The following is a 13746-nucleotide window of genomic DNA, read 5'->3' as shown; positions in this document are numbered from 1 at the left end:
CTGTATAAACATATATGAATGTAAAACAGGAAAAGATCAAAGTGGTTCAAATGAGGCAAGTACTTCTACTTTGTTTTACATGTTCTTGTAGTAAGATTTTCTTATATCTTCATATACTGTGTATGTCTATGGAAGATGGTCTGAAAGGCTATATACCAAAATGTTCACTGTGATGACACAGACCTAGAAAGTACAAGTGCAGGGCAGAGCAAGATGAGCCCTTCCCTTTTAATTGATATACTACTCTAGTGATTAACTATCTATTCACAGTAAGTATGTATTTCTTTTATAATAAAACAATAAACTGCTTAAATCTCATAAACATAATTTAACTATTTTAAAAAATTCATTCAAATTACTGAGCTATCACATGCTTTACTACAGATTCAAATATTACCTCATTTTTTGTTTAGTTTTTTCAAAAGTTTCCAAATTTTGAAGAACATGCCTTTCTGGCCATTCCAGAGGATTGGTTTCCATTAGACTTGAGGAATTAGGTTCCACTGGACTAAAATCTAAAGTGAAAGAAATACACATAAGTCTGAAAAGTATTATCATACTGAATTTTGCTAATAAAAATGTGTATTTACAGACACATACATACGTGTGTGTGTATGTGTGTCTATAAAGGCATACTTACCTTAGGCATTTATTAAAGACCTCTCTGATGGCCTAAACTGTACAAAAGGCCATAGAAATGTTTGTTGCAAATAAAAATAAAATATCACTTCATAATAAATGTCATAAGCTAAAATTCACAAAATTGAATTAGCACTATTTAGGACTCCTATGGAATAAAAGCATAACTTTGCTATTTTGGGTGAAAACAGTTCTAAATGAAAAGAAGATAACTCTGTAGAGAATATATTGGATATTCTGTGTGATTTTCATACTAGAAATAGGAATTAGCACAAATAGACCAAAAAATTACATTGTTTAAAAAGAGATTACCTTATTCTCAAAACTACAATAATAATAGATAAGTTATGATGTTCTGATGTTCTCTCGCAGAAACCAAGATGGTTAAACATACACACCTTCAAATCACTAACATGCAGTGTTATTTTCTACTAATCAAATATTATGTGTAAGAGTGTGCTTATCTTTCTAGATAATACACTGCAGTGAACTATATTGAGATTGCTGTTAATATTGGGATTTTCAATGAAAACCTAAAGGGACAGTTTCTGTTCTTATTAGAAATTATTATAAATAGTATTAATATATTCAAACTGTTTTAACACTGGCAAAATTACTAACTGTGCTACTTTTTGGATTGCAAAACTATCTGGTTTTAGAATTGTTTTGAACATTGTTCTAATAAACTCATTGAAAATTATTAACATTAGCTATTTGATTAACTATCAACATTAACAAAAATATTCATTTTATATTTTTGAGAGGACTGAGAAAGTAATGATTTGGTAAAGGAATTTTTTTTTTTTTTTCTTTTTCCAGAGACAAGAGTCTCACTCTGTCGCCCAGGCTGGAGTGCAGTGGTGTGATCTCAGCTCACTGCAACCTCTGCCTCCTGGGTTCAAGCAATTCTCCTGCCTCAGGCTCCCAAGTAGCTGGGATTACAGGTACATGCCACTATGCCCAGCTTATTTTTGTATTTTTATTTTATTTTTATTTATTTATGTTTTTGAGACGGAGTCTCGCTGTCGCCCAGGCTGGAGTGCACTGGCCCAATCTCCGCTCACTGCAAGCTCCGCCTCCCAGGTTCACGCCATTCTCCTGGCTCAGCCTCCCGAGTAGCTGGGACTACAGGTGCCCGCCACCACGCCCGGCTAATTTTTTTTTTTTTTTTTTTTTTGAGATGGAGTTTCACTCTGTCACCCAGGCTGGAGTGCAGTGGCGCAATCTCGGCTCACTGCAAGCTCCGCCTCCCAGGTTCACGCCATTCTCCTGCCTCAGCCTCCAGAGTAGCTGGGACTACAGGCACGCACCACCACGCCCGGCTAATTTTTTGTATTTTCAGTAGGGACGGGGTTTCACCATGTTGGCCAGGATGGTCTCGATCTCCTGACCTCGTGATCCACCCACCTCGGCCTCCCAAAGTGCTGGGATTACAGGTGTGAGCCACCGCGCCTGGCCTATTTTTGTATTTTTAGTAGAGAAAAGGGTTCACCATGTTGGCCAGGTTGGTCTCGAACATCTGGCCTCAAGTGATCCATCCACCTTGGCCTCCCAAAGTGCTGGGATTATAGGCGTGAGCCACCACGCCTGGCCTGTTAAAGGAATTTTTAAACAAGAAACATAAATGAAAATTAATGCAAACTGCATCTTATTTTCCTTTTACTTATTAAACTATTTAACCTTGAATAGTTTAAAATATTTTCAATACCTATATTGAACTGCCCTATCTAACCATCCAAATACAACACTTCACATTTTTTAGTAAAGGTGGTGAAATGCTATTTTAAAAAGTAATGAGCTTTATAATAAAATAACATGCTGCTGAATGTTCATGCGGCTTTCCACTAAAAGCATAAAGAAAAAAATCACTTGCATTTCTGCACAGCTTCATGCCATGAGTTCATAAAAGAATATAAGCAATCTTAAATAACAGTAAACATTAAATTGTTCCTAAATATTACAATATAATATACAACCTAAAAAATAAATTACATAGGCTAAATATTAAGAAATAGGTGGGAAAACATTCATATGTCTCATGTCTTTTGTGGAATCATTTAATACAATTCTTACAATAAAATAAAACACATTTCATTTATGTGGCAGTCAAAACGCTGGGCTATGCTGACAGCCAAAAAGCACAAAGGCTCTCTGAGAAACCAAGAACACTGCTTTAAAAAAAAAATCATTTTACAGGAAACACAGAAATAGAACAATAGAACCAACACAACAGGGAAATAGGGAAAACTGACCTATAAAATCACAAATCACAGCAAACAAAAAGAGATGACATTATGTGGTTAATGAATTGAGGCCATTATAACCTTACATACTTAAATATGAATAAATCACAAAGAAAATGTTATATTGCAAATTAATAAAGCAAGAATTATAAATAAATGCCAGAAGATCCTTTTTAAGTGTTTGAAGTAATAAAATAACGATCTGATAGAATTACCTGGAAAACTTACTTATGCAGTGTGTTGATGTGTCCAATGGGCCCATGCAAAGGAGACAGTTATTGTAGTTATTGTATTATGAGTTCAGATATCACATTTGACTTTGTCAAAGTCTTTAGCAACTTTGTGACAATGTGTAAATAAATCGTTATATTAGCCATTTTCTACATACTGTCTTGTCACTTGTTATACATGCTAGAGTTTTTACCAAAAAATAAGCAGATTAAATAACTTTATTAATTATTAATAACTCCTAATATGCATGCTTGCAAATGAGTCGTCAGAATATGATATCTAATTGGCCTTAGTGTTTCTTTCATTATGTAATTTACAAGTAGATGTATTTCTTCAAATCAAAGCAACAAAAGATGTTAAAAATCACAACTTCATTCTTAGGAGTCATGTTCAAATGCATAGCCTGTCTAATTTCAGTTCAGTTTCTAAAAATCTTCCAAGTTTCTTTCATTTATTCAATAAATGCAATCTTAAAATGTGATCCAATAATTTGAAAAAAAAATTACAGGGAGAAAGTATAACATAAAACAACTGAAACTGGGGAAGGTCTGGGAAAGCCTCTTTGAGAAAGTTACATTTAAATCAAGATCTGAAGAACGATCGTCAGTTAATCAGCTAAAGGCTGGAAGAAAAGAATTCCAGGCAAAGGACACTGCAGAAAGAAAGAAATGTAACATGTCCAAGGAAAGAAAGGACTTCCTGTGGTAAAAAGGAAACAGAAATGTACTGGTACTAGAATAAGTATGAAGCCAGATACCATTTAAGGTTTTTACAAACCATATGAAGGATGATGCATTCTATGTGCAATTAGAAGCAATCAAGAAGGTCTGGGCAAAGGAGTGACATAATCTGACTGTAGATTGTGTTCATCCTTTGCTCAAACCTTTTTGATTTTAAGATGAGCTCTCCTGCAGCTCAGTGTGTCAAGTATCCTTTGTACAGGTAACCCTAAGATACATACCCTTAAACTTATATAAAAGCCCTAGCAATTATTTGAGCCCTTCCTATCTTTCAACCCTTATCTCCCATACACATCCTCTGGTAAGCCAATCTCTCTCTTGATCTCAGTTTGCCTTTTCTTACCTCCATGACCCTGAATATGGTGCTTCTACCTGGCAAATCTTATCTTCCCTCTATCCAGATCTTATGCATCATTCAAGACCTACATCAACTTCCTTGGCTCCTAATCAGCCTTCATGACTATTCTACCCTACTTGTAGTTCTCTCCTCAAAATTCATATTTATTTAACCAGCACTTACTTTATACTAGGCAACTGCCTAAGCAATTTAGGAATAATTAATTTAATCTTCATAACTACCTATGTCATCCCTAATTTAAAGATAAAGAAGCAGAGGCACAAAGATCAGAAAACATGCCCAAGGTCACACAGCAAGTAAGCTGCTAGTCTTGCTCCAGAGTCCATGCTATAACCATGGAGCTATGGTCTCTCACTTATTGAACACATGCCCCATTTACAAGTAATCTAAAAATGTCTCCAGCACCTTTCAGATAACTCTGTATGCTATTTAACTTGGGTACTGATATGCGATGGTGATGATAATGATAAAACAAATAACATCTTTTTTGGTACTTGTGTTCTAAGTGTTTTACAGGTATCAACTCATTCAATCCTCACAATAACCTACTAATCCTCACAATAATCCTAGTAAGTGGGTTATATTATTATTCCCATTTTAAACATGACGAAACAGGCAAAGAGTTGAATAACTTGCCTAAAGACATTTGGTTAGCAAGTAACAAAAGTGAGATTTGAACCCTGACCATTTAGCTCCACAGCCTGTGTCCTTAAACAAGGTTATTCAAATTCATCACAACACTGGAACTCAGGAAAGCGGAAAGAAATACAACTAAATAACGAAATGATTTCCAGCTGTCTCAGTGAAGTCTGACTGTTCCTCCCCTATTGAATGTTAAATATGCATCATCTTATCATATGGACTTTTACCTCTATTAAATTTACTATGTAGATTTTGCTTTCCACACTTTATGGAAATGTAGCTTAATAGAAATTCACACATTTCAGCAGCTTAGTAAGACTAAAGAGAGGCATCATCTTAAAGTGCTTCTTCCTCTGCCCAAAAACAATTACACTGAACATACTTAATGAAAAAAGTTACTAGAAAATTTATAATGTTTAAATAATGAGTAATACAGTTCATCACATATACATACATACTTGTATCTATATAAGTATCTATTATTATTTAAATTTGTGAAATACATTTTGATTTGACCAATACATTTTATAAGTTTTAATAATAAATGTCATAGTTGCCACACACACACGAACTAAAATTTAAAGTAATAAAAAACTTACCATTTAATATATTGAAGGTTTTAATTTTGTCCATCTTTCTTAGAATCATTTTAGGAATCACAGCATCAAAATAATCTAAAAAGTGTTTCCTTGTGAGTACTAACAGACTTTTGAGTTCAGCAACAGAAACTGTTTCAGGCTGCTTTGCCAACTTTCGTCTTTCTATAAGACAAATCAATACAATTGACTTATTTTGTATTCTCTGGAGCTCATCTACTAGTCTTTTGTGGAAAATATTTTCAGAAGTAAAACAAGTGAATTTCTCTAGTAAATCAACATTCCTGTTTTCAGGATTGTAGGCCTTCTTTCACTTTAATCCTATTTGTAGATAATGGGAGAATTTCCAGTTATGTGAGATAAACAGAAGTAATTCATTGATACTATAAGTTGATAACAGATAAAGGCAGGTTTACTAAAGCCTTCAGAAATATATTGCAGAGCATTAAAATGGTCTTATGTTCATGGTTATGTAGAAATAAAACCTGTTAGACTTTCAGTTAAATATGGTAGCTTGGCCACTTCTGTTTCTTCTTCTCAAAACCTAAAATCACAGCAAAGAAATAAAAAGGGAGAACAAAAGAAGGAATGATAAATAATGACATTTTTCAACAAATTTTGGAAGACATAAATGACCGAGTGGTAACGGAGTCTGCAAAGCAGAGGAAGAGCCACCTTGGATGCCTGTAGAGAGGCACTACCGAGGAGTATAAGAGCTGGTGGTGAGATGCTGGACTGAAACAGGACTGGATATAGCACAAGAAGTCAGAACTGCAGGTCCTTCCCCTATGCAAGCTATTCCTATTAGATAGGCAACACTGCTTGCATTTTTTTTTCTTTTTTTTTTTTTGTATGGAACATCAGGTATACGAAAAGATAGTATTGAGGCTGGTGTTAAAACCAAGGGATTAAGGAAAAATCTATTCATTGAAAGGTTGGACTCCAAGCTTTGATACCAGAAAGTGAACATCCACAAATGCCCCACTGGAAATATCAGAGGATTCTCCTTTGGTTAAACTGAATGCTGTCAGAGAAAAGAACTCTAGATAGCAAGGGGTGGAGTTAGGGGTAGAAGCTCATGAACAAAATGTTGAATTGTCACTTCACCATACTATAGTGAAGCTTGACAGATATTACTTTAGAAGTAAGCATACAAAACTTCCATTTCAAAATAGGATGGAAACAAAAGAATCTCCAGACATTTAAGGAAAGGTGTTGAGGGGGAGAGGCAGCTCTTTATTTCCCTGTGCAAAGATTTGATTCAGTTAACACTTTCAGCTCCCCTCTTCCTTCCCATCACTCACTGAGCTAGTCATGAACAAAGCATGCTCTGATAGATTCTTCTGACTTTCATCTGAGTGAGCAAGTCTTCAGGATGTATTTTCTCTGCAGACTTCTGCTGCAGGGTTGGTCTGCAGTTGCCTAGCTCTGACAGCCATTCAGTGGCAAAATTCGATGCTGGGTGTATGTATAAGAAGGCCAACTTGGCCATAGATCTAAAAAGCCATATCCTTTAGTACAGCTTTCATCTATAATTTCTCTCCATCTGTATATTTCTTACACTTATTTTTCAGTTGGTTCAAATGTTGGGGGGGAGAAGTGGGTATTATTCATTGGAATCCCAAACTAAAAAGCATCCAAAAGAGAGACTAAGGCAAACAAACAGAAAAAAGGGAGTCCAGCAGAAACAAAAGCATTGTAGAAAGCTAAACAAAGTTTGCTATAATTTTCTCATAGACAAATGAGAAGATACTGCACCCATGAAATAAGTACAGGATGCTTTGATAAAGAAAAAAAAATCAATGAACAAAAAATGACTCTAAAATTAAGCACACGAAACATCAAATTTCAAAAATTCCATAGAAGAGCTGTAAAATAAAATGGAAGATATCCCCCCAAAACTAGAACAAAAACATAGTAATATGAAACTAGGAATGGAAATCAGGCATTCTGTCCAGAAAAGTCAATATCTAGTAAGAGCTCCAGAGCTCCAGAGAGAGAAAGAGAGAGAGAGAATGGGAGGAAGAAAATTATTAAAAAGATAAAAAAAAATTCAGATTTCAAGATATGACTCTCCCATTTAAATTGCCAATCAACTACACAGTTCAATAAATGGGGCTGGTGGGGAAGATGGGAAAGATAAACACAGTGTGACTCAGAGTAAACCTTCTAGAGACAATGATTCTGGAGACAAAGTTTCCAGAAAGTGGGTAAAAACCAAACAAACCAAAATTAGATTACCACAAAGAATAGGAATTATATTTGACTTCGCAACAGAAACATAGCAAAGCAGAAGACAATGAAGTAGTATCATTGAAATTCCGAGGGAAAATGATTTTTAACCTAGAATTTTATTAGTGAAGTAAATAAATTTTCAGACATGCAAGAACTCAAAAAATTTATGCTCCATGAACTTTTGTTCAAAAAGTGACTGGAAGAAGTGCACCAACCAAACAAAGGCATAATCCAAGAAAAAGGAGAATAAGGGGTCTAGGAAAAAGAACATTCTGAAAGAAGAAAAGAGGAAAGGGAAATCTTCAAGATATTAGCAAGATATAAGCAATCAGTCCATAGTCGAGCAAAATATGAAACACTCCAGGAAAGAAAACAATAGAGAAATAAAAAGGAACTGATGTATTTGAATACACAATGAATGTTAATGATAGGAGTGCAGCAGAAATGTTGGAGCCTCTGGAAAAACATAACAATGTTCTGTCTATACAGAAGAGTAGGCAAATTTAAAATAAGGTGATTATCAACCATAAGAGAAACAAAGAATTATATAAGAGAGATCTGATCATCATCATTTATTACATGGCTCAACAGTAAACTTATTTATAAAATTATAATAATATTAAAGCCAACCACTGATTTAACCAAAATTCATGACTTCACTTGAAGAAGCAGAAAGAGAAAGTGAGGATTATGTGGGAAAGTGAAGTTTTTATCTTCCATAGTTAGATGTTAAGATAATGCCTGAAACTAGTAAATCAAGAAATAGCAGCATACGTACATTATTTGTATAGGGGTCCACCTGGAAGAGCTGAGGATAGCTGTCTATAAACACAGGGACTGAAAGATGGGGAGGCATGGGTAGTGCATTGCTGTTTGCCACTTGAAGCTTTTTCAGTATCACTTGATTTTTCAAACTATATCCATGTATCACTTTGATAAAAATAGTCCATTTTAAAACACTTCTAGACTAGTAACATTTTCTTCCACAATAAAATACTAACCTAGAAGTTCATAGAGAATTCAACAAAACGCACATTTATTAATTTTAAGAGCTTACTGCCTAAAAAGCACTGTACTGTGTCCTTAGACACAGAGGATTAAAGCATTATTACATTACACTACCTGAGGTCAGCACATAAATAATGCAAGGGAGTAGAATAAGAAGGAGGCAACCAATGTCGAGGTTCTACTTTAGAACATCAGCTTCATGATACAAGCCTCTGTAAAATCCTGCATCACCAATGTGGACATTGGTAGGGTCCTTCCAAATCTGACCCAAGATAACTAACATTCCTTCCACAATCAAGAATATTAGTAACAGTAAAATGAGAGCTGTAATATATTCTGCCTCTATTACATCCTCTTAGTGAGAAAATCATAAGGTTCATTGTCTTTTTGTGCACAATCTGCTGGGAGCCATTCTAAGACAAAAAGTTACCGATGGTTTGGTTTTATCTGGAAGATGTACGCAGTAATCTGCTTCAGAAATTAGCCCCTATGTTTTTATTAATGTTAAAAATATACTCAAATCTGGCCGGGTGTGTTGGCTCACTCCTGTAATCCCAGCACTTTGGGAGGCCGAAGCGGGTGGATCACCTGAGGTCCAGAGTTCGAGACCAGCCTGGCCAACATGAAGAAACTTCATCTCTACTAAAAATACAAAAATTAGCCTGGCGTGGTGGTACATGCCTGTAATGCTAGCTACTTGGGAGGCTGAAGAACAAGAATCACTTGAACTTGGGAGGTGGAAGTTGCAGTGGGCCAAGATCATGCCACTGCACTCCAGCCTGGGTGACAGAGCAAAATTCTGTCTCAAAAAAAAAAAAATTATATATATACACCCCCACACACACATACACACACACACTCAAATCTGAACCTGAACCTGACCTATATTTATTAAACCTGTCAATTATATTACAATTTGAAGAAGAGAGTAAGAATCCATATTGACCTTAATGATTAAGAAATGGAGACAGAAAACAGATAAAGTTTACAAGTTATGAGCAGGATAATTTACCTAGGTAAAACATAGTCTTCACACAAATGAGTTTGCATATAAGTGGCAGATAAATATTTGAGAGAAAAACATTGGACTAAAGTCTAAAAATGAGTTAGCATAAGAATGCTATTTTCCTAAGAAAGCTAGTAATAACTAAGGATTTATTAAAGAAAAATGTAGAAGCAGAACATCCAAAGGAATCAGCAGGTCAAGCATAAGCTTTGCACTGTGTTTTATAAATTTAACAAAGATGTAGGGAGCTCAGAGTAGAGACTGCAATACTGGAGCAAAATGATAATACTGCTGTTTTCATACTTATCTTGCATCATACTGAACAGTCTTTTATTTAAAAATTGTTCAGCATTCTTCAGCCTTTTCTTGAAAAATCAGTGAAACAAGATTTTTAATATTTCCAAATACAAAAAGTCATAAATTACCAACAAATTTGGTAAAATATAAGTCACAAGCTTACAAATTTTAAATATCATTCTAATTAAATAGTATTAGATGTAATTTTCAAAATAAAATTAATGAAAATAAACTAATTTTAAAAAATAAGCCCTAACAAATTTTATTTCGTGTTATTTTAAAAAACAAAGTGCCTCAATAGTGTTATTAGTGAGTACATTTTTGAGTAAATTTTTGTGCAAATTTTTCTAGCTATTCTTTCTAATTTAGTATTAGAGAAATAGTGGAAAAAGAGTAACAAGCCTACCCCATGTTTTGTTGATAATTTGAGGAAATCTTTTTGAACAAATTTTGTTTTTCTGTAAACACTATAATCTCTGTATGGATATTGAACCACTATTTTTTTTTCCAAAGAGAGCTGTTCCCATTATATTCTTTACTTTTTATCATGTACAAATAAGTTAACTGCATTACTTTAAGTACTTTTATATTCACACTTCACTTATTTGCAAATCACTGAAGTAGACACTTAAGACATGCTTACATTGGAAACTTTCTTTTGCTGTCGTTTGCCTCTGCAAATGCCTCTGCAAATGCCTTTTGAGACACAGGCATTCTAAACAGATGCATCTTTGTCTCCAAGTTTTTAATCCAGTATTAACTCTCTGGGTAGAGAAGAGATTTGTTCAGTAAGTATTTTCATCATAAATAGATTAACTGGATCATTTATCTGAATCAAGATTTAATGCTTCTGATCGCAAATTGGCCATTTCATGGACATACCCAGAGCCAGTGTCTCTAGCAGCAACTAGCTCTAAGGTTGTCTTCAGTTTCAGGTTCCCACCTTACTCTTTGCCCAGTCTAGTGGCATCCCTGCGATTTTTTATTTTTTTAATTTTTTTTATTTTTAGCATTTCTGTACTCTCTCCTGCCCTCTCACCAACTCTGTTGAACTTTTCACTCACACCTCTAGGCAGCAACCTAGTTATAGCTGTCATATTTCCCTTCCCACACAACCAGGAGGGATGGCCCTTTTGGGGTTAAGTCTTCTCCTTTCACAAAGAAGAGATGCACCAGCTTTAGAGAGGTCCCTGCTCTTCTGATAGTTTTTGTGTTTGGAAAGGTGAGGAACAGAGGTGAAGATGAATCAATGGAGATGTTGAAGGAACTGAGTTATAAAAAGCTGCCAGAGGCATATGGCAAGGAAATCAGGGCCTGACGGGTTTTTGGCAGGAATAGAGCAAAGTTAAAAAATGAATAATACAGCTGGCTGATGTCTGAAATAAACATTTTATAACCATAACAATACTGGTATTTCAGTATATATGTGTGTGTATGTATTTATGTATTTGTTGGTTATAGCATGTACTACACTTTATTAAAAATGATTTGCCTTTCTAATTACACCTTCCTTGAGCAAACATCATTTTCGTGGTTAAAAAAAACAACACACCAATGGTTAGAGGAGCTCAAGACTAAACAATTACCCTGGATTTTTACAATTGAAAAAGTTTGCAATCTTTACATGAATAATTGAGACCAACTATTCTAAAATTATCTTCTATTGAATAGGTAGGCTACTGAATTCACAATTTTTAAATACGTTTTTAAAGAAAAGAATGATAGTTCTTATTTTATAATATATGTAATATATAATTCGAATAACTTTTTTTCTACATACAACTAAGGAGAACTCACAATTTGAATCAATTTCTTAGAAATTACATAACCATAAATAAGTTCAATTAGGCAACAAATGAATGCTTAAAATTTGTATTAAAAAATAAGACTGATAGCCAAATTAACTGTAAAAGAGAAAAAATGTGAAATTATGACTCTTTTCTGAATAAGATAAATCTATGCCAATGTCACTTAGTACATGAAATGTTCTTACTTATTATTGATGATCATTATTAAACTCTAAGAATCAATGCTCAAGGTAACACATTAATTTCCCTAAGACTTGCATTTTTTCCTATTTGTAGCACCCAACTTCCGCTACAAAAATATATAAAAAGATATTTTATCAAGAGTTATACATAGAAAAATAAAACTTACATACCTTCTCTAGCATACAATTAAAAACAAATTTTGAAATACAAAATTTGCCTGTTGAAATACTTTTACAAATGTTAACAGTGATGTACAAATAAACAGAAATATTCTGAATCTAGTGAAAATATCTCTTCTACTCTACATCATTGCTTTCAAAAATAGTTCTATAATTAAGTAGCATAACTAAAAGATAAACTATATATGAAAAAGTGTGCAAATAAAGGTAGCTTATGTCCAAACAAGTCAACATTTTTAGGGTAGGATAAAATACACAAATTGTTACTTACTTAGGCATTCTTCCAAAGCTAAAACTTGAACATTAGCTAACTGTTTCTCTCTCTGTACAATCTGCTCCCCAGAAAAATGTGGAAGTGATAATAAGTCAAAAGGAAAACCTGAGAAATAAGAAAAAAAAAAGGTCAACATTAATGATGCCCTTTGCCAACAATTAGTACTCAGTTCCTGGGAAATGTGTTATAGCAAGGATTTAACAAAAAATAAAAGTCAATCACTCACCTCTCTCGACCTTACATATTTCAAAGTAAATAATAATAATAATTAAGCAGCAGAAAATAAGCATACTCAATTATTTTGCATTTTAAACATTGACCTGATTTTTAAATTGAGGGAATTTAGATAGCAAAGTAGAATTCCCTGAATCACATTTTCTTCTACCTGATCAGAAATCACAGATAGGGAATGGTAGCTAGTCTGTAAAGATACCCCCAAAAGCCATTGAATGAACCACATCTCCTGTTATTCCTTTTTGTGCAGTCCCCTCCACAATGAATCCAACCTAGATAAATGTGCTGGATGGTCCCATGATAGCCTTAGCCGTGTCTCTCTCCCCATTCTTCATGCCCATTTTACTCAGAATAACTGCAGAATGCACTGGAAATGTACTATCTTGAAATAGGGAGGAACTGCCCAGGATAGCTTGGGTTTTTTTCCTCTGTCCCCTAAAAGCAGGATGTCCTTCAAAGCGTTGCCCAATGAGTCACATGGCCCCTGAAATATAGAAGCCAGGTCAGGCTGCCTTTTGGGGTCCCTTAGCTGTGGTGCAAATGGCGTACATGCAGTCAAGACACCATCTGCCCTGGGAAGCTTTCGTGAGCCTTGGGGGCCTGGCTCACAACAGATCCTAGGCTTCTTTTGTTCCTTGCTGCCTATCTGTAAGTAATAAATCTGCTTCATATAACTTGCATGTGAGTGTGTTCTGTCACACCGGACTAGGACAAATTGGTAACCAGTACATGGTGGACCTAAATAGTAGCCCATGGGGCAACATAAAGATGTATTTGGACTCCCGTTACTGGTGGCTGGCATAGTGATGATCTTCCCTATTCTCCACGCTGTGGCAGTCCTCCCTTAAGACTGCTAATTATTGGACATGCTTCACACTATGTAACAAATAATGTAACGTAAACGTGACACTGAATGACTTCTAGCTAGGAAACAGAAAGCCTTGTAGCTTCACAGAACAATTGCTCTAAGTCAGCAACCATATAAGAAGTCAGCCTAGGCCGGGCGCAGTGGATCACGCCTGTAATCCCAGCACTTTGGGAGGCCGAGGCAGGCAGATCACGAGGTCAAGAGA

At 34.9% G+C, this 13746-nt stretch overlaps 1 protein-coding gene across 4 annotated transcripts in view; it reads right to left on the bottom strand.

The window, feature by feature from the left end:
- The window catches only part of MTBP (MDM2 binding protein), a 78218-nt gene that overhangs the window by 20630 nt on the left and 43842 nt on the right, over window positions 1-13746 (bottom strand). For 3 of the 4 annotated variants that reach the window (XR_928318.3, NM_022045.5, XM_011516962.3), the window contains exons 13-15: window positions 12437-12544; window positions 5453-5614; window positions 398-515 (exon numbers count right to left, since the gene is read on the bottom strand). Coding sequence is in view for 3 of the 4 variants with exons in the window: in NM_022045.5 (NP_071328.2) it covers window positions 398-515; window positions 5453-5614; window positions 12437-12544 (388 nt within the window). In the remaining variant the exon portion in view is untranslated. Of the gene's footprint in view, window positions 1-397; window positions 516-5452; window positions 5615-10638; window positions 10760-12436; window positions 12545-13746 lie in introns of those variants that run through there. The other variant, XM_011516963.3, reaches the window with a different exon arrangement.

This window comes from Homo sapiens, chromosome 8, assembly GCF_000001405.40.
Source record: "Homo sapiens chromosome 8, GRCh38.p14 Primary Assembly".
NCBI classification, from domain to species: domain Eukaryota; kingdom Metazoa; phylum Chordata; class Mammalia; order Primates; family Hominidae; genus Homo; species Homo sapiens.
This window is presented reverse-complemented; position numbering and strand designations above follow the sequence as displayed.